The 19,892-nt window shown below is 39.3% G+C and overlaps 1 protein-coding gene across 4 annotated transcripts in view; it reads right to left on the bottom strand.

Moving 5' to 3' along the window:
• Window positions 1–1,779: 1,779 nt before the first annotated feature.
• NLN (neurolysin) overlaps window positions 1,780–19,892 on the bottom strand; it is a 107,079-nt gene continuing 88,966 nt past the window's right edge. For all 4 annotated transcript variants that reach the window (NM_020726.5, XM_005248559.4, XM_047417444.1 and 1 more), the window contains exons 12-13: window positions 18,672–18,808; window positions 1,780–8,282 (exon numbers count right to left, since the gene is read on the bottom strand). In NM_020726.5, coding sequence (NP_065777.1) covers window positions 8,148–8,282; window positions 18,672–18,808 — 272 coding nt within the window. In that variant the 3' untranslated portion in view covers window positions 1,780–8,147. The remainder of the gene's footprint in view (window positions 8,283–18,671; window positions 18,809–19,892) is intronic.

Genomic DNA, 19,892 nt, shown 5'->3' with positions numbered 1-19,892 from the left:
ACAGAAGTCCCACTTGTCAGTCACACAAATGTTGAAGACCATAGAAAGGCATCTGATTTGGAACAGGGAGGACAAAATGTATCTTTTGGTTTTCCCCACTTTGCCCTGAATACAAAGGGACTGATGACTGCTTTGTTCTGGAATAAAGTCTTACATTCCTTTTAAGACCTATCCATCCAATCATTAAAAGAGAAAGAAAATTCCTGTCTGGAATCACTCCTACCACTTTCTCTCATCAAATGTATTATCTCATCAAAAATTTAAATAATTACATGAATAAGTAAAAGACAAGAAAATAAAATATATAGGTCTGATAGACTAAAACAAGGATTTCTGAGAAGCAGATGATTATTTAAAGAAACAGAAGGGAATGGAGTGTAAGTTTAAAGTCCAGCCCCAGTCTTTGTCTGAACCTTGGAGCCCTGAGGCTTCTTTAGTCTTCCATTGATCTGTTTAGTCAGTTTCTATCCCTACATAAAGAAGTCACAAATAGGCAGTAAGAGGTTGAAATGCTAGGGTGCTTTTTTTGGCTCTTACTGGTGGTAATGGAAATTATTAACACTGATGGGGCCGCGCACAGTGGCTCACACCAGTAATCCCAGCACTTTGGGAGGCTGAGGTGGGAGAATCTCTTGAGCCCAATAATTCCAGACCAGCCCGGGCAACATGGGAAGATCTCATCTCAAAAAAAAAGTTGCTGGGAACAGGAAGTAAGAAATCTTGACTAATCTGGACCATCTCTAAACAACTCAGTGATTATTTTAACAACCTGTTTTCTAGACTTATAGGATGTACCAATGCCTCTTGGCTATCTAATACATATCAGCTTAAAAGGGGTCCCACATCATTCTTCTAATGGCTGTCAATTTATAACCACTTGCACAAAAGTGGCAAAGTGAACATTTTCATCTCTTTTTTATAAGCCCTTTAACTACCAGATCTAAGAAACTCCTGGATATACCAGATATAGAACACCATTTGGTCCCACTCCTGAAATGCTGAAAAGAGAAAAGCAATTATTTTGTTAAAAATAGAAGCCTGCGGTGGCAGGTGGCGTGGTAACTATGTAAAATTTTGTGGCACCACAGTCAAATTGTATAGTGGAGTCAACCAGGGTTGAGGGGAAAACACAGAAAAGTTTTGGATACATGCCTTTCTATTATAATTTATCCCAATAAATTATGAACTCATTTGCCTTCTCCACTCCACTGTGAGCAGCTCCAGTTCTGGGGTGTCTTTTTGTATCCTCATTGCCAAGCACAGCGCCTGACACATAATGGGCACGTTAGAGTCTTTGAAATGAATTCAAAAAACAAATGTTTGAAAGCACATTTTTAAAGACAGTAGTTCTTAATTTCTTCTGATTAAAGCTAAGGACTCTATCCCTAGAAAAATGCAGGTATCCATGCACACGAACATATCTAATATAATTTCAGGGCAATCATGGGACATCTGCTTGCTCTGCCCTTTTCATAGACCCCCCAAGAAAACCAGATGAACAAATTCCGAGGTTTCAATACATAATCATAGGGAGAAGCTGAGAAGCTTTAGAAACGTTCTCCATTGCCAATTTTTTTCTTTTCTTTTTTTTTTTTTTTACAAAAAACATGTTTCTTTCATTTACCTCATGCAGAAACTCTCAGTACACTAAGAAAGGACTCTCATGTAGAAATCTGCCCCCCGCAGGTGTAGAAATAACTTATCCACATAGTTTTAGGTTTAGTTACAAATTAGGTATTTTGCAGTTACCATAGAAAAAGGCATCTTTATAACAAAAGATAATTTTAAAGAAGGTATATTTATTTAACAAACATGTATGAACTATTCATTAACAATCCAGGACTGTGGAGGACAGGGGACAGAAACAAGCCTCGAAGAGATCACAATATGGTGGAGTGCATGCATGGCACACCTGGCTATCTGAATCAGACGTTTGCCTCTGTGTGTGTGATGAAGACAGTAGTGAGTGGAATGGACAGAGAGTAACTGTAAATTCTGTAGGGAGGAAAACGAACGTTTACTCATTCTCTAACAGTCTTTTGCTTTACTATGGTCATATACAACAGTTAATCTCCCATCCTCAGTTCCCAGATACCCACCAGAAAACCGGTAATTAACCTCTGGATAAACTTTCACTGATTACAGATGAGGAGCGAGGCAACCTTAAGCCATAAACAATATTCCTACAGTATGGGGGAGCCGCAATCATCTGAATGCCAGTTTTCAGAGCCAGCCTGTGAACGTTTCATCTGAGGGATGTTTTCCCGATGATCATCTTATCATTATCGCATCTTAAAAGCTGGAGAAGCCCTAAAAGCCGGTTTGGCACAAATGTCAACTCAAGGGAGGAATGCCCTCTGTAACACTCCTGGCAGCTACAGGCTTTCCACAGCAGCGGAATGTATTTTTAACCAACAAAAAGTATTAGAAACAGCTTCCTCGTACTGAACTAAATCCTCCTCATATTTTCCAACCGTTTCTCTAATGGAATTTAATTGTTTCCATTTGGTTTCTGAAGCAATACAGAATTAGCCTATTCTCTCTCCCATTTCCTTCAAGAATTTGAAAACAATTATCATCTGTATTTCTGAATTATCTCCAGACTGAACTTCCCTAATTCTTTTTTATTTTTCTTTTGAGAAGTATTTTCAAAGTTATCACCATCTTGTTACTGCTCCTGCAAACACTGTACTACTTGGCCAAAGTCTGCTTAAAATGTGATATCTAGAAAGGAACACAATATTCCAACAGTAATTGATCTTACACTGGAGTCCGGGGGGATTATTCTTTTGATCTAGGCACATACTTCCATCAACACATTCTTAAAAAGCCTTAGTTCTCGCCTCCCGTCCCCCTCCCCCGGTGTGCTGTACCATGAGCTGATATTGGAATTTGGCCAAATAAAACTGCCAACTCTTTTTTCCTGAATACTACTATCAAGTCAGGCTTCCCCTTCTTTTACCTGGGTAATGGAATGTGTCTAATTTCATTTTGAGCTTGTCTCCACATTGAAATATTTTTAAACATTATTATTTTTTTACTTTTGAGACAAGAGTTTCACTCTGTTGCCCAGGCTGGAATGAAGCGGCACAATGTCGGCTCACTGCAACCTCCACCTCCGGGGTTCAAATGATTCTTCTGCCTCAGCCTCCTGAGTAGCTGGGAGTACAGGCATGTGCCACAACACCTGGCTAATTTTTGTATTCTTTAGTAGAGACGGGTTTCGCCATGTTGGCCAAGCTGGTCTTGAACTCCTGAACTCAGGTGATCCACCCATCTTGGCATCCCAAAGTGCTGAGATTACAGGCGTGACCCACCTTGCCCGGCCAAAATAATTTTAGATGTTAATAACATCATCATACTTAATAATTCCAGCCCTATTATCTGTACATTTGATACCTTTTTATGGGACTTTTTTTTCATTTTTAGCCAAATGACTTGAAATTACTCCCAGTTTAACGTTAATCATCATGCAACTATCTCAGACTGTTTCAATAGCTAGTAATCCACCTGGATAACTATTATCCAGTCACATTCTCCATCTTAGCCACAAAGATATCAACAGCAATGCGTGTCTTGCTGGACGCAATGAACAAACTATTTCTAGCCAGTTTCTCTCATGACAAATGCTAGAGACATTTTATCATAGGAGTACAATTGAGGTGAGCCTCTGGGGTCTATGAAATATGCAGCTAGTACAGGTTCCAGCTCATGTGAGCAGAATAAGGGAGTCTATTTCCTGTTCACCCCTTCCCCTTGTACGTACATCGTGGACTAGATGTGTTGAACCTGTATTTTCTCAGGAAAGGGAACTACAAGGTGAATTCAACCAAATCAAAACTCAGGAATCACGGTGTGGTGTGGGGGTGTGTGCATCGCTGTGTACATTACCTCAATTTTTCAAATTTTGTTTTGTTACAGACGTACAGCATTATTGTGTTTGTTAAAAAAGGCTATTTTGGTCTAATATTTACATCTTATAACCTTTACCTTTTGCCTTGATACAGCTGATACTAGATAATCACTTAGGTGGATCTGTTTCCAGTGGGAAATTTCTCTATTAAAGGTGACTCAAAAAATAAACTTTTTGGACGTTGACTGTTTTTCGAAGAACTGAGGGTATGTATGTCTTTCCTTTTCCTTTTTTTTTTATTTTATTTTAAGACAGGGTCTCTGTCACCCAGGCTGGAGTGCAGTGGCGTGATTATGGCTCATGGCAGCCTTGACCTTCTTGGGCTCAAGCAATCCTCCCACCTCAGCCTCCCAAGTAGCTGGGACTACAGGCATGTGCCACCATCCCTAGCTAATTTTTTTAGTTTTTGTAGAGACAGGGTCTCACTGTGTTGCTCAGGCTGGTCTCAAACTCTTGAGCACAAAGGATCCTCCTGCCTCAACCTTCCAAAGTGTTAGGATTACAGGTGTGAGCCACCACATTCATTTCTTTGTTGCTTTTATTCTCACCACACATTTATAAGAGAAGGCATGTTCAATTTCAGTGGGCTATCCAATTTCAGATGGGAGACATCTAACTGTAATGTGTTGATTTGAGGGAAGAAGCTGTGGTCACTGCATCTATTCAAATAAAATGGATTTTCTCTTTTAACATTCTTTGGGGGCTCAGTTAACTATGTTTAAACCCTATTTGAGGAATCAGTATTCGTTATGGACTGAATGTTTGTGCCCCATCCCCTACATTGAAGCCGTAACAGCCAATGTGATGGGGTTAGGGGGTGGGGCCTTTGTTGGGGGTGACTGGGTTTAGATAAAGTCATGAGGAAGGAACTCTCATGATGGGATTCCTGCTCTCGTAAAAAGAGACACTCTAGGGCTTGCTCCCTGCCACTGCTGCCTGCAGAAGTTTCTAAACCCTTTATGTTCCACATCTGCCTCCTGTCTCTTCCCATGGCTCTCTACAGAGCTATTTGTAACATGTCTACCTGACACTTTTGGGGATGTGGTCAGTAAAAGAGGAAGAGGGGCCTCACCACGAACCAAATTTACCAGCATGTGGATTGTGGGACTTCCCAGCTTCCAGAACTGTAAGAAATGTCTGCTTTTGAAGCCACCCAGTCTGATATTTTGTTATAGAAGCCTGAAGTATGATGGTATTTTAATGTAAATTTTAATGTAAATTTTAATCCACCTGTGTATGATAGAAAATGAATAAATGGTAAACACACACTGGCCTAGTGGGGAGGCAGAATCTCCACAGACCTATAATTCATACATAAAAGCTAAAGGTAAAATGGTAAAGTAGAAAATTGAGTCACTGCCTGCTACTTAAGGCATTTACAAGTACAATGATCATATCAGTAATTTTTCTTTGAAGAGCTATTTCCTCAATTTTGGTATCTCCCACAATGCAATTTTTCATCCGAAGAGCTACAGATATCCACCTCTCACCTTATTAGCTTTAGAAAGGCAAGACCTTGGCATAAGTAGCTCAGGTGATAACTCAAGGCAATTTTTAGTTGTTTATCTAGGTAACATGCAACATTTATACTAGAGGGGGACAAAGTCTACATCAGGTGGCAAAACGTCAAGACATTTCTCTTCTCTGCAGCATCGTAAAACTAAACCTTTAGGATCATGCCTACTATCCATTTGCATAAGATGTTGAAGATTTTATCCTTCACAACATAACAATGCCTAAAAAAAAAACAAAAAACCCGAAAGAGGCCTAAATCCCCTGGATCAATTACCAGGAGAGACCTTATTATATGTGGCTCAGTCCATAAATCTAAAGTGTACATTTGTCCAATTACAATTTACATAGTTATCCACCATTTCAAGCATGTCAGTGATATTCTCTGCTCTGATCTGGAAAAAAAGAACAACTAGACGGATGACCACACTAAAAAAAAAAAAGTTAAGTCCTTTCTTTTGAATTATGCTAGAGAATTTTTAAAAAGTCCTTTCTTTTAAATTATGCTAGATAATTCTTTGAGTATTAATTTTTTTTGAGACTGAATCTCACTCTGTCGTCCAGGCTGGAGTGCAATGGCATGATCTCAGCTCACTGCAACCTCCACCTCCCGGGTTCAAGCTATTCTCCTGCCTCAGCCTCCTAAGTAGCTGGGACTACAGGAACCCAACATCATGCCCAGCTTTTTGTATTTTTGTAGAGACAGGGTTTCACCATGTTGACCATGCTGGTCTTGAACTCTGACCTCAGGTGATCCTCCTGCCTTGGCCTCCCAAAGTGCTGGGATTACAGGCATGAGCCACTGCGCCCGGGCTGAGTTTTAATTTTGTGACTGCTCTTTGGTAGATTTTAAATATTAGAGGTAGGCCCTAAATAGAAAGAACACCATGGTGCTTTTGCTCTCATGCATTTCGGTTTTAACGTTAAAGTATGAAAGAAATATGAGTTCATTTTCATGGATAATAATATAACTTTATTGTGTGCAGCCTTTCCACACCAATTTAGTTTTTCTATGAAATAAGATTTCAAGTGGTAAAGTTACTGTTAAGGAGACACACTGGAAAAAGCTGAAGAGTTTTTTTGTCTGAAACTGAAAAACAGAAAAGTCTAGGGGGAAAGATGTGAGAAAACTACTATAGGCTACAAAGACCACAAAAACAGTTTTGGGGATTAGAAGGGGGTGACATTGAGTGAGTGTGTGGGAAGAGAAGGGCTGGGCAAATTATCTCAGAAGAGGGGGTAGTAGGATTTCAGGTGGATGTTTAAGGTATTTGCTTGGCAGATATAATCTAGGAATCTCCTAGCTCTTGCATTTCCTGCTATCTGTAACTTTATTATGTAGTATAATAATTTTTTATTTAGCACAAAGTTCATTTGGACTAGAGAATCGGAAGGTGCTAATTTTGTCCCCGGCTAGCAAAGTCATACCTGAGGTATGCGCTGGAAAACAACTGGAAGACCTAGGCAGGGGAATTCAAAGTTGTTTTTTTTTTAAATTTTATTATCCTGTCTTGGTTTCCTTATTGAATAGATTTCCACAGGAAAAATACTGTGAGTTTACTGATCTGCTGCAGAATTGGAATTTAGACTCACAATAAAGAGAGTTAAAGATAGATCCAAAGGTTCACTTAAAATAAAAATCACCAGACAGAACAGGCTACTGAAGAGTCTCTTCCCCGTGGTTAAGTTTCATCATACACATAAGGCTTTGGAGCAGCTGTCCTCAAATGCTTCTATCCAAAACCCACTCCTCTTCTGGAGTTTCTGAACCCTTTATGTTCCACATCCACCTCCTCTCTCTTCCCATGGCTCTCTACAGAGCCATTTGTGACATGTCTACCTGACACTTTTGGGGACGTGGTAAGTAAAAGAGGCAAAGTCCCTAACACTTATTAGAAACGTGAGAAGAGAAAAATGTGCTTGGACTTGCTTTAGTATTCTAATTGGCACACATGCCAAAAGACTAACGATCTTGTATGCTGAGGTGGAAATGAGCCTCTAATAAAAGCTACGAAATCCTCTAATACAAGATACAAAAACTTATACATTACACCAGTCTAGCTGAAACATAATTTTTTGATACTCTTTGACTGAACTTTAGACAGAAAAGACAAAACTGAAATGGAGGAACGTAATTTAAGTGTGGCAGAAAGTTGGGAATCATGCGGCCTGATATACAAAGATAAATGCATCACTGAGGCATATTCCCCTGGCCTTGAGGTATGCAGGCAAAGGAGAGGTCACACCTTCCTGGGAGACAAAGGATCAAAGTTGACACAGAGCTCCAAGAAAATATTTACCAGAAGAATGTGATGATTCATTTATCAGTCCAGAAATCCCAAGTACAAAACTTCAAGATACAAGAAGGATCAAATTATATCATATATATGATTCAATTTAAAAATTCTTAGCCCTCTTATATCATATTATCTAGATTATAATAGTAAAAAATCAAGTTACATTCATATGAAACTTTCATAAAAAGAAATCAAATCCAGTTTTATGAAATTTTATAGTACAATTACTTTCTAGTGGGTCTTTTCTTAGGTCACAGTATTTATAATTCCATTTACATCTTTATAATTTTTAAAATTAGAAAACAAAAGGATGTCAATAGAAATCTAAATTTTCACTTGCAAAACTCCCTTCAGTTTCCAGGCCAGTAACACATGGTGATGTCGACTTGTCCTCCAGACATGGACGGCTACCAAAGATCCCCAGTTCACGGAGCATGCAGGCCTCTACTCATTAGGAACGCTTTTTGGTTTGGCTCACGTTTCAAGAAATTGTGGAGCATGTCCATGCCGTCCAGAGATCCCCCAGGTTTCAGGATTAGGTTTCTGTATTTCATTCCAACCTAATAAAATAAAACATCATACCTAATAATTCATGGTTCTAGCAATTTTCCAAATCTCTAGATGCAAAAGAGGAGAGGGTAGGGGTGAAGGAAAAAGGACTTTAGCCTTACTCTGTCTAGATGTTTTCTCTTGCTCACAAACAGCTCTGTAGTATTTATTTATTTTGGTAGCTAAGAGATTTGGAGCTTAAAACTTCAGGTCTTCTACACTGTCCTTTATTATGGTCTTGTCTCCTTAGATTCTAAGCAGTGAGCTGACAACATGAACAAACAAACAAAATATAGCCAAATGGAATATACAACAGGTTCCTATTTGCTATGCTATCTCTCGTGATTTCAAAAGGCTTAGAAAGCAAGTGTTCACGAAGGCTACAAATAGCCTTCTGGGTACTCAGAAACAGTAGCATGGCTACTGTCAAATGGTTTCTGCTGCTTTTATGATGGGCTCATTCAAAACAACAACAACAGAACCCTCTTCCTTATGGATGAGAGAAGAAGGGCTGTACGTGCCCCGCAGGGGAGGGCAAGACATTTTTGTGGGTCCGATGCTGGGAATGAGGACCTTTGGAAAGTTTTCTTTGGGGATGGAGGTCTGGAATTTTAAAACGTCACAGTTCCTCTACTTTTATTTACACAAACACAGGTGCAGATAGAGTGAAAGAAAATAGTTGTTATTCAGTATCAGCATTGTTCAATATTTTCACTTCCCTTTCACTGTCCTTTTAAGGAAACAAGGCAAGACAATTCAGAAGCATAATTCCAAATATACAGATAATAAACAATTCACAGAGTAACACTTAAATTTATATCCATTATATCACTTGATCAAAAGGACTTAGTACAAGAAGAGCTAGAGAATTTCCAGCTCTGTCGTATAACAACATTTTGATTGGTACAACCATCAGAGGTAAATTTAGTCAAACTTTTAAGGAAAATAAAACATGGATGAAATCTACCAAGTCAGACACAAAATGATTTATGTCCTAGGGCCATAAGAACACAAACTTTTGGGGTTACCTTTTGGCTATAAATAGAAATCATTTGCAGCTTATTAATCATCTATAGGCCAACATGTAACTTCACAGTCTGGACTCTAATCAGGAGTAAATAACTAGTCAAAGTTACCTTCTCAGAAACTCTAGGGCTGCACTGTCCAACAGAAACATAATATGAAGCACATATGTAACTTTAAACTTTCTACTAACCACATTTTTTTAAAGTTAAAGAAACAAATAGGTAAAATTAATTTTACTATTTTAAACCACTATATCTACAATAGTATCATTTCAACACGTGTCAATATACACATTATGGAGACTTTTGTTGCTGTTGTTCTAAGTGCTCAAAATCCAACGTGTTTTTTATACTTATGGTACATCTCAATTCAGTTCTTCAGTTGTACTTAGCCTCATTTCAAGCGCTCAACAGCTACACGTGGCTACCATACTGGACAGGTCTAGGGCCCAGAGCATAAAATAGTCTTTAGGAAGGTTTGCTACACAGTGTTCTAGTATGATATTAAAAAGGTACACAGCAGTCTTGTTGCCTTATTTACAAGTTTTCAATCAATTTTCTTAAGAGAAGGCACTCAGTCACTGATACCGAACTTCCCAAACCTGACGACGAGGGCTTGAAGCTAGATTCAATTAGCTCCCTTCCCTTTCCGCCCCCCATTCCTGCCCCTGCCGCTGCCTCTGCCTTTCCTTTTCTTTCTCTCTTTTCTTTTTTTTTTTTTTTTGAGACAGAGTCTCATTCTGTCGCCCAGGGTGGAGTGCAGTGGCACAGTTTAGGCTTACTGCAACCTCTGCCTCCCAGGGGTCAAGTGATTCTTATGCCTCAGCCTCCAAGTAAGTGAGATTACAGGAGCACACCACCACACCTGGCTCATTTTTTGTGTTTTTAGTAAAGATGGGGTTTTGCGATGTTGGCCAGGCTGGTCTCTAACTCTTGGCCTCAAGTGATCTGCCTGCCTCGGCCTCCCAAAGTGCTGGGATTACAGGTGTGAGCTACTGTGCCCAGCCTTCAATTAGCTTTCGGGAAAACAAACAAACAAACAAAAAAAAACATGTCATTTCTTGCCTGTTCTGCAGCAATTCATGACTACTACAGCAGCAATCTAGAATCTAAAATGTGAGTGATGGCTGTGCTTGTCATGGATTTTAATTAAGCTAAGAAGGAGCATATCATGGCTCTTGAGCCCAACCACAATTTACCTCCCTTCCCTTCCTTTCTTTGGTCAAAATGCCAAAATTTGACTAGTGTTAAATTAGTGGGAGGAGCATGGAAAGACTGTGCTCTCTGGGTAGAGCAGTACAGGAAGAACGCAGACAATGTGAGTTAAATTTTTCTGCAGAATTACAAAAATATTTTAAACATTTTATTATGAAAAACTTAAAATACATACTAATAGTAGAGACAACAGTATAATGAGCTCTCACAAACCTATCATCCAGTCTCAATCATCAATATTTCGTCTGCAGAAATTCTTCAGCCTCAAGATGTATGTATCATGTATCTTTTATTTATTAAAAAGACATACGCATTTGACAAGTATAGAAACATTAAGGAAAATTGAAATGAAAGTTTTAAAAAATCACTCCAAATGTGAACATCTGATAAAAGTATTTTCATTTTGTGCAGAGAACTGTAATTTTAGGTAGTAAAGAAAAGGAAGCATTTGAGGAGCTCCATGGTGTTATAAAGAGACAGCTCATGAATGGTAAAATCATTTCAGAGCAGGGCACTGTTTAGTCTCACAATATGTGGCTCAGTACAGCTCAAATCTTCCTCTGCCTATGGCTCCAAACAAGTTGATTCAATTTCCTGAATTACAGAGCAATGGTCTTTTAATAGTTTCATTTCCTTTGCAATGAAGTTTTGAGAAGAGTTTAAGAGTCATTTTGGTAACAGGATCTTGCTTTTCTTAGGGAAAAAAAAATAGTTAAGTGAATTTTTGTGTTTCGGGGGGTACCAGGCTCTTTTGTGTGAGAGAACGTGGTCTGGGAGACATATGCCACAGGTGGAGGGAGTCTTTGCCCTAAGTTGTTCTATTAATACTTTGTTTATAAAGAAACTAACTGTGAGGAAATCAAGAAAAGAAGCTCTAAGACAACTGCTAAAATTTTTCATATTAGAAACATCCTTCAGGAAGATCTGCATACAGTAAAAACTAGAGCTTTCCTATGGAGGAAAACCAGTGTCATCCACCTCTGTGGCTTTTTTAATCCTAGAAGATTAGCATGTATCTTTTGGCAGCTATGCAAGTCTTCTCTAACAGTGACAATTTCTGAAGCAAGATCAGGAACTCTAGACTCAGGCCCGGGTTTGAATCTTGGCTCAATCCTTAGCTATGTGACCTGGGGCCTTGATTTCCTCATCTGTCAAATGGGAATATGCCTACCTCACTCAGTTTCTGGGCAGTTGGAGGAGGTGATTTCAGTATTCTGTTTGCTCTCTAGCATAATATCTGGCATAGAGTGGTAATCAACAAACCTCTCCTCCTCCCATCTCCTTTCCTCCTCCCCTCTCCTCTCTTTCCTTTCACACTGCCCCAGCTCAGTTACTTATATACAGTTCAGGGAAACAAATGCATTCCTGGTGTAGCACTTCCTCAAAATTAGTTCTATCTCCTAATAAAGCTAAAGAAAGGCATAAGGAACTTCATTTTCTCTATTAGTAAGAAATAGAATACATAATTCAGTAGAAATATTAAGTGGGAGAGATAAGGCACTTAGGCACTCATTTTGCTCAATAATATGCACCCTTTCAGGTAATATTTTAATAGCAATAATAATTACCTAAATGAAGGATGTCCATCATCTATCAGCAATGAGAATATATAAATGGGAAACAGATTGGGTCTCCTGCTATCTTGGGCATCTCTGCAGCAGCACATGCAGGCTCTCACTAACTTTCCACCCCTCCTCCATCCTTCCCAGCATGGATGACTCTGGGGAGGGCAGCCAGAGCTGTCTCCTTCCTACACTGAGCGGCAGTCATCAGGGCAGAGAGCGACCAGCCAAGGACGGGGGATGACGATCAGGCACCTGACAAGCTCACCAGCCTGCTCTAAAGCTGGACTTTGAAACCTCTCCTTCCATAGTCCATAACTCCCTCCCAAGAGCACACCCTTTGTTTTCTGTGAGGGTGGGGAGATCTTGAATGGACAAAAATTAAAAATAGAATTGCTTTGACAACAACAAAGGAGGGAGAGAAAAAAACTGGTGCTGACTGAGAGATGGAGACAAGAATAGTAGTAGGAATTGTTGCCTGATTAGAAGAGGTCTTCTGGAAACCTTACTGATTTGTGAGGATAGAAGGGTAAACCTTTATTTCTGGGGAGGGAGGAGATCCAAAGGAAAAAACACACTGGGTAGGAGTATGTATGGGGGGGTAGAGAAGTGGAAGCGGATGGAGAAAACCGTCAGGTCCAAAGAGGCACAAATATGTAAAACATTAATTAAATTAAATAGTTGTGAAGCAGAGAAGGGAACCCAACGCTGAATAAAATAGTTCCTTTTACACGAGTCTTATGATCTATCAGGGAAGATAAAGAAATAGACAACTAACCAGGCAGATTATTGGGGTACTAAGAGCAAACAAAGAAGGGCTGTAAGAGCCCAAAGGAAGATGAACTGCTTCCAGCTGGTTGGGATTCAAGATTTAGAAGGCCTGGCCTTGTAAATATTCAAGAAGTAGGTTGGAAATCAATTCGAATTCCTTCCTTTGTCCCTCAAGTCAGGCGAAACCTGAGGCTACTAGAAAAGGTTCAGTTATAAGAAAAATCAGCTGTTGGGTGGTACATCAGGAGAGCTGAGACAGAGAAGAGAATTAAAGCCATTTGTAAAAACCTTCTGGAGAGGAAATTTCATATTCTCTTTTAGCAACACATTACAGGAAGAATTGGGCCTAAGATTCTGTTTCAAGCACTGGGATCCTTAGCTTTATATTATAGATTCTCTATCAAGTGATTCTTTGTCATGTTTAACCAAGACTCTTCATGTTTTTGTGGCTATTATTTTATGTAAGATGTAGCTCCTTCCTTATGGCATTACAGACTGAAATATAGTTACACTTAACTCTCTTGAATTTCTCAGTATTTCTTTCAGAAGTGATACTTGTTCATATTTCTTCTCCTCTGATGGAAGAAACAAAGCTTAGCAATTTCTTCAAATGCAAAAGAGGAGGAAGATAATAGTAGCTTAACAATATAATTGCCTTTGAATTCACAATGTCTATTACCTCTTAGAAAATTTTCCCACAATGAAGTTGCCTTATAAAAAGAAATGGCCTTGGTTAAAATGCCCCCATTATTTCAACCTATGATTAGCTGCTGGATTCTGAATTCACATTTGGTGACCTTAAAGACCTTTGAGAGCTTCCTGGAAAAGCATTAATCCCAAGCAGTTCCATTCCATAATTATTTAGCAGAACAGTTAGAAAAGTGAAAAGTATGTCTGACAATGAGACAACTTCATGTTCACTGAGAAAAAAGTACTTTAGGTAATATATAACAAAGTAATTAAACAGTTACGATGTGATGTCTATTTACTATGAAGAACAATATTTAAAAAACTACAGATAAAACCAGAGGTAGCAAAGTTTTAGGCTATTATAGGTAAGCAGTCAGTTATTATACTTTGATAGAGGCCCTCAAAACAGAATGAAAACTATACCCTAAAATATTCTACTGCTACTTTCTATAGTTCTGCTTGCCAAGATCTGAAATGGTCCCCAGAGCAGACCCTGGGGTTTGTAGGATGGCAGGAGGTTACAGAGAGAAGGAAGGCCTGGACACAGTCTTCTCTATTGCATAACCAATAACATCAACAACATGTGGTTTCTTAGCTCCCAGCCTCTCTAGTGCCTGGGGACTAACAATAGAAGGCACTGACGCTTTGAAGGGCCATCCCGCTACCTTCTCAAAATGACCCACACACACATTAGGGAGGGTGAGACAACAAAGTCTGCAGGATATATTTTGATTTGTCTGCTTCCCATGACTTCAGATCAAATGAAGTATTCCTTTATATCATAAAAATTCATATTTTTATCCTGTCTATGTATCTGAAGCCACCACTCACTGACATGTGAAACTAAAGCAAATGCACCGAGTTTGGAACAACTCAAGATAATGCCATCTTTCTCAGTGTTGGCTAATAACACTCTGTGGTTGTGGCACAAAATAAGTAATGTATGGTGTACTGGTCTGAAGAAGTATTTTTCTGTTTCTTTTTTTTTTTTTTAACTTTTACGTTCGGGGTACGAGTACAGGTTTGTTACATAGGTAAACTTGTGTCACATGGGTTTGCCATACAGATTATTTCATTATCCAGGTATTAAAGCTAGTACCGATTAGTTACTTTTCCTGATCCTCTCCTTCCTCCCATCTTTCACCTTCTCCAAAAGGCCCCAGTGTGTGCTGTTCTCCTCTACGTGTCCATGTGTTCGCATCATTTAGCTCCCACTTTTAAGTGAGAACATGTGGTATTTGGTTTTTGATTCCTGTGTTAGTTTGCTAAAGGTAATGGCCTCCAGCTCCATCCATGTCCCTACAAAGGACATGATCTTGTTCTTTTTATTTTTTTTTTGAGATGAGTTTCACTCTTGTTGCCCAGGCTGGAGTGCAATGGTGCAATCTTGGCTCACTGCAACCTCTGCCTTCTGGGTTCAGATCTTGTTCTTTTTCTTGGCTGCACTGTATTCCGTGGTATACATTGTTTTTGTGGGGGGAGTTCTTCTTCCTCTTTTCTTTTTAAAATAAATGTTCGCTCTAAAGTAACACTCACATTAGAAAATACAAGTACCCAGTTACCAAAAATTAATGCTTTGGGACAACAAAAGAATTTCTTTTTCTCTTCATCACACATAGCTATAATAATGATCTAAGTTTTTTGGAGACTAGGATTGTTGTCCCAAAGCATTAATTTTTAATAACTGGGTACCTGTATTTTGTAAGGCAAGTGTTATTTTAGAGCAAATATTTGTGGGTTTTTTTTTGAAGAACATCCCCCGCCGCCACCAACAAAAAACCCCAAATAGTATATTGTAGGAGGGAACAAAATGTTTGTTTAAAAATCATCTTTTAGTATCTGCAAAGGGTGTGAGGGTGAGGGGCCAAGGGATTCTTCTTGGCTTTTGGAGCCAGGTCCATTATTGCTGTGACAGCAGAGGATCAGGAAGTGCCATGATACTCAGAGCATTTGAAAGGAAAGGAAAAAGTGTAAAGGAAGGAATTAACACCAGCCTTATGGCATAAGACATCTAATAATAACAGCACTGCTGAATCCAGAATTTTAGTAACACTGAAAATTGTTTTCAACATCACAAGTTTTAACTCCAAGTTGTTGGGATGATGCTTTCTCTAAGTTCAACCCAGCACCTTTGTCTAAATAAGAGTAGTATGGCTGCCTGCCAAACTGTGAAGCCTGAGAATAAGAGGAAGTATAGAGAAGACAATGCAGGAATTGCTTCTATTACACTTGCAAGTTCCTTGGAACCACAGGGATCAGTAATTTGGCTGCTACCTTGACAGCTGGAAGAGAAAAGGTAATGATAGAGGGTTCTGGGTATATGGTCACATAAGGGCAAGCACAGAGGAGGTGATGGCGAAGCTTGGCTGGGAGAGGCAGTGTACACTTATGCCAGGAAGCCTCACCAATGATTGCCAGTAAGACGTCATAATTGTACCTTTACCTAGTTAGACTTTTTTCTCTTTGAAACATTGTTTCTGGCTTCTAAAATAATCTATGTACTATGTAAAAATAAGGAAAAGCTCTAGGAAAAATACAGAAAAAATTAATAATCACTCATAAACTTATCCCCAAAGATAATCATTGACATTTTGATGTACTTTTTTTTAAAACACACTTTAAAATCAACATTCGTATTGTATGGTATAAAATATTTTATAATATGATGTTTTTTCACTTGGTAATAGTTACATTAAATATTGCAGACATAGTAAAAGCTTATTGAAGCCCTTCTTCCATGCTCAAGACCACTTTTTTTTGTCTTTTTTCTTTAAAAACTAGTCTATTTTCCATTTTTTATTTTTATCTTTGGATTTTTAATTTCTATTTGTTTTGGGGACAGTTCTCCAAAAGAGAAGAGAAAAGGTAATGAGAGAAGGTACTGGGTATGTGGTCACATAGTGGCAGCACTGAGGAGGTGACGGGGAAGGCTTGGTCCACTCCTCCAAGTCCACTCATATGTTCAAAGGATGTAAAGATCACTTTTGGTTTTGGATAATTTCAAAGACTTCTTGAACATGCAGTTATGTGAGTGAGACCTTCAATTAAGACTGCTGGAATTTTTGAGATGCACAGATGAAGGAGGCATATATTTTAGGTGAACGAAATAGAACGAATAAATTTGTGAAGGTGGAGAGACCTAAGGGAACACATAAACTTGTCTAACACACAGGGAGTACTGGGAAGTAAAGAAGGGTTTGATTGCCCAGCTGAGGGCTGTGAACAGACAGAGGAATAACAAGCAGCAGGAGGTAAAGAAGAAGGACGAGGGCCTTTGGAGTTGGTAACTGGGTCATCAGTGGTAACTACGGAGGAAGGGTAACTTTCCATTTCTGTTGGTTGGGGCAAAAGCAAGGAAAGAGAGGTTTGCAAAGACTTCTTATACCAAGAAATTAGGCTGTGAAAAGAACAGAGTAGTAGCACTGATTGGGGTTATCAGAGTCAGTAGCAAGTTTTTTTTCCAAGACAGCAAACCAGGAACTCTTACCAGGAACTCCTGGAGCTAGAGACATCTCCTCTGAGACAGGAGAAAATAAGACAAGTATTGAAGTACACAGAAAGAAAGATGAAGGTACTCATTCTCAATGATTTTTTTTTTTTTGAGATAATCTCACTCTGTCATTCAGGCTGGAGTGTAGTAGCATGATCTCGGCTCACTGCAGCTTCCACCTCTCCTAGGCTCAAGCAACTCTCCCATCTCAGCTTCCAGAGTAGCTGGGGCTATAGGCTTCTACCACCACACCTGGCTAATTCTGTTTATTTTTTGTAGAGATGAGGTCTTGCTATATCAAATAGGTTGGTTTCAAATTCCTGGACTTGAGCGATCCTCCCACCTCAGCCTCCCAAAGTTCTGGGATTACAGGTGTGAGCCACTGCAGCCAGCTTCAATGATCTTAATTTTCTTAATAAAGAGGAGAGATCATCTGCTGACAGATGAGAGAGGTGGTGGGAACTTGGAGGGAAATCAATAAGGGGAATGGAGTTGGACCACAGAGAACACTGGGGTCCAGTTCAGGCTACATGCATGACTTTGCAGTTGGGCATGTCAGTGGAGTCATACAATCTTCCCCAGAACACTTTGAATCCTAAGGGCACTATCTCTATGGTGGAGGCATTAAGGGATGGGTCCTGGTTGAAGGTCATGCAGGAATAGGTATGTCTGTGAGAACAATAGTCAGCAGTTGACCTTTGTAAATGGGTTGGCCAGGTAATGGAAAAAGAATTACAAGGACTTAACAGATTGGGTGGGGTGGGATGGGAGATGAAATGCTTCAAAATAATGAAGTATGGGTACCTTGGAGGTGTTATTTCAGGAGGAAGATGGGGAGGGAATGGTGATCTAAATCACATCAATGTATTTCAATACATATGTATAAGGTACTATGCAATCTAGAAAAAACATTTGGAGAAAAAAATCTATTGGTTGAAATCAGTACAGAGAGCCTGATTTTGATAATTTGTTCTTCTAATTTCTGAATCGAAGAATTTAAAAACATACATTGGAAAATGCATCAGCCTTGGAAATAATCTGATGGATGAGACTTCAATGAGAATGGAGATTGGGGGCTGTAAATCAGGAAGGTTTGTCTGGCAGCTACCTGGCAGTCAATTCACTGCATACAGAAAGTAATGGCTCAGGTTAACGAAGCAACTTTGTGACAAAGGTCACAAACTATGTAGTGGGTGGGGCATGCCAGCCACAGAAAAAGGGCGTCTCCCACAGAAAGTGCACAAAGTGTGTAGAGAATATCAAAACACAGGGAAACCATTTACATCAGGAAGGAGTTTACCTTTCTTTCCCAACCTCCTATAAAACTAAAATGTTGTATGGTACATGTCAAAACTAGCAGCTACAGATTCTCAAATCCATAAACAAAGCTTTGAATTTTTAATTATGTAATATATCAGAATGTTAATAAGCAAGAAAATATACTAGTTTTTTTTAAACTATAGAATTAATCACTTGTATACTGCAACTTAATGATGTATGATGATTTGAAAGATGCAGGGCCTCAGAGGTAAAAGCTGTTACCAAGCCTCTTACAGTAAAATCTAGATGTGACCAATATTTTACACTAGGAGTTAAAGGGGAGGGAGCAACTACAAAATTAATAAAAGGAGAAAAATAATACTATACCTCTGGATTCATTATCCCTTCTTTTTTAAAACAGCTGTAAAACATATCCATGGAAAATACTTCACTCCAAAGATATCCATAATATTGGCCATCGTATCCCCCTGCCAAATGTCCAAAGGTAGCTGGCATATTTGTGCCTTTAAAAAAAGATACATTTCAATCAATGTGATAGCAAACGTTAATGATCAGGTTAACAGCTAGCTAAGGTTTCCCTCTGAGGAGGCCAGCTGTGGGAGGAGAGAATGAATGACATGATCTCACCTCTAGTACTCCTTGGGCTGATGTGTCCTCTTGGCCAAGATGTTTATAAACATCTATCAATGGCTCAACCTCAGAGCTGGTTTCGGCCCCAAGCTCTGGAATGCCTAAGGATAGTTTCAGCGGCTTTGTCCACACCCACCAGATAGCTCAGTGTTTTAGAACTGAAATCAGTCCTTTCTTATCTCTTAAACATGTATGTGTTTTGAAAAATAATATTAACCCTACTCTTTGCCACACCTCTTTATATCTAAAATGTCTCAGAATTGCACTTATTTTAGGTTGATAATTACTGAAAAAGAACTTTTTTTTGAGACAGAGTTTCACTCTGTTGCCCAAGCTGGAGTACAGTGGTGAGATCTCGGCTCAATGCAACCTCAGCATCCCAGGTTCAAGGGATTCTCCTGCCTCAGCCTCCTGAGTAGCTCGGATTACAGGTGCATGCCACCACGCCGGCTAATTTTCATATTTTTTAGTAGATACAGGGTTTCACCACTTTGGTCAGGCTGGTCTCAAACTTCTGACCTCAAGTGATCTATCTGCCTGCCTCGGTCTCCCAAAGTGTTGGGATTACAGGCGTGAGTCACCGTGCCTTGCCTGAAAAAGAACTTTTCACCAATTCAATCTACCTGTAGGGCTACTTTATATAGGATTTTGTCAAAAATCCTGAGCTCAAGTGATCTTCCCGCCTCAGCCTCCCAAAATGCTGGATTACAGGCGTGAGCCACCATGCCAGGCCTAAAAATGTCCCTTCTTGATAGCATAACAGGATGGCTATAGTCAATAATAATTTAATTGTACATTTAAAAATGTAATTGCGACACAAAGGCTTGTGACACAAAGGTGCACTATGGCTTACTATGTGGGGAGCCTAGAATGACTCAACGGACCATTCTTATCTTTATTCTCTCTATAAATGTGGCTGACTCATTTTAATAACAATTTCCTTGGTGAAAAAAAATC

The sequence above is a fragment of the Homo sapiens genome, chromosome 5, assembly GCF_000001405.40.
Source record: "Homo sapiens chromosome 5, GRCh38.p14 Primary Assembly".
Taxonomy (NCBI): domain Eukaryota; kingdom Metazoa; phylum Chordata; class Mammalia; order Primates; family Hominidae; genus Homo; species Homo sapiens.
Note: the sequence above shows the minus strand (reverse complement) of the source record. Positions and strands in the feature narration are given on the sequence as shown.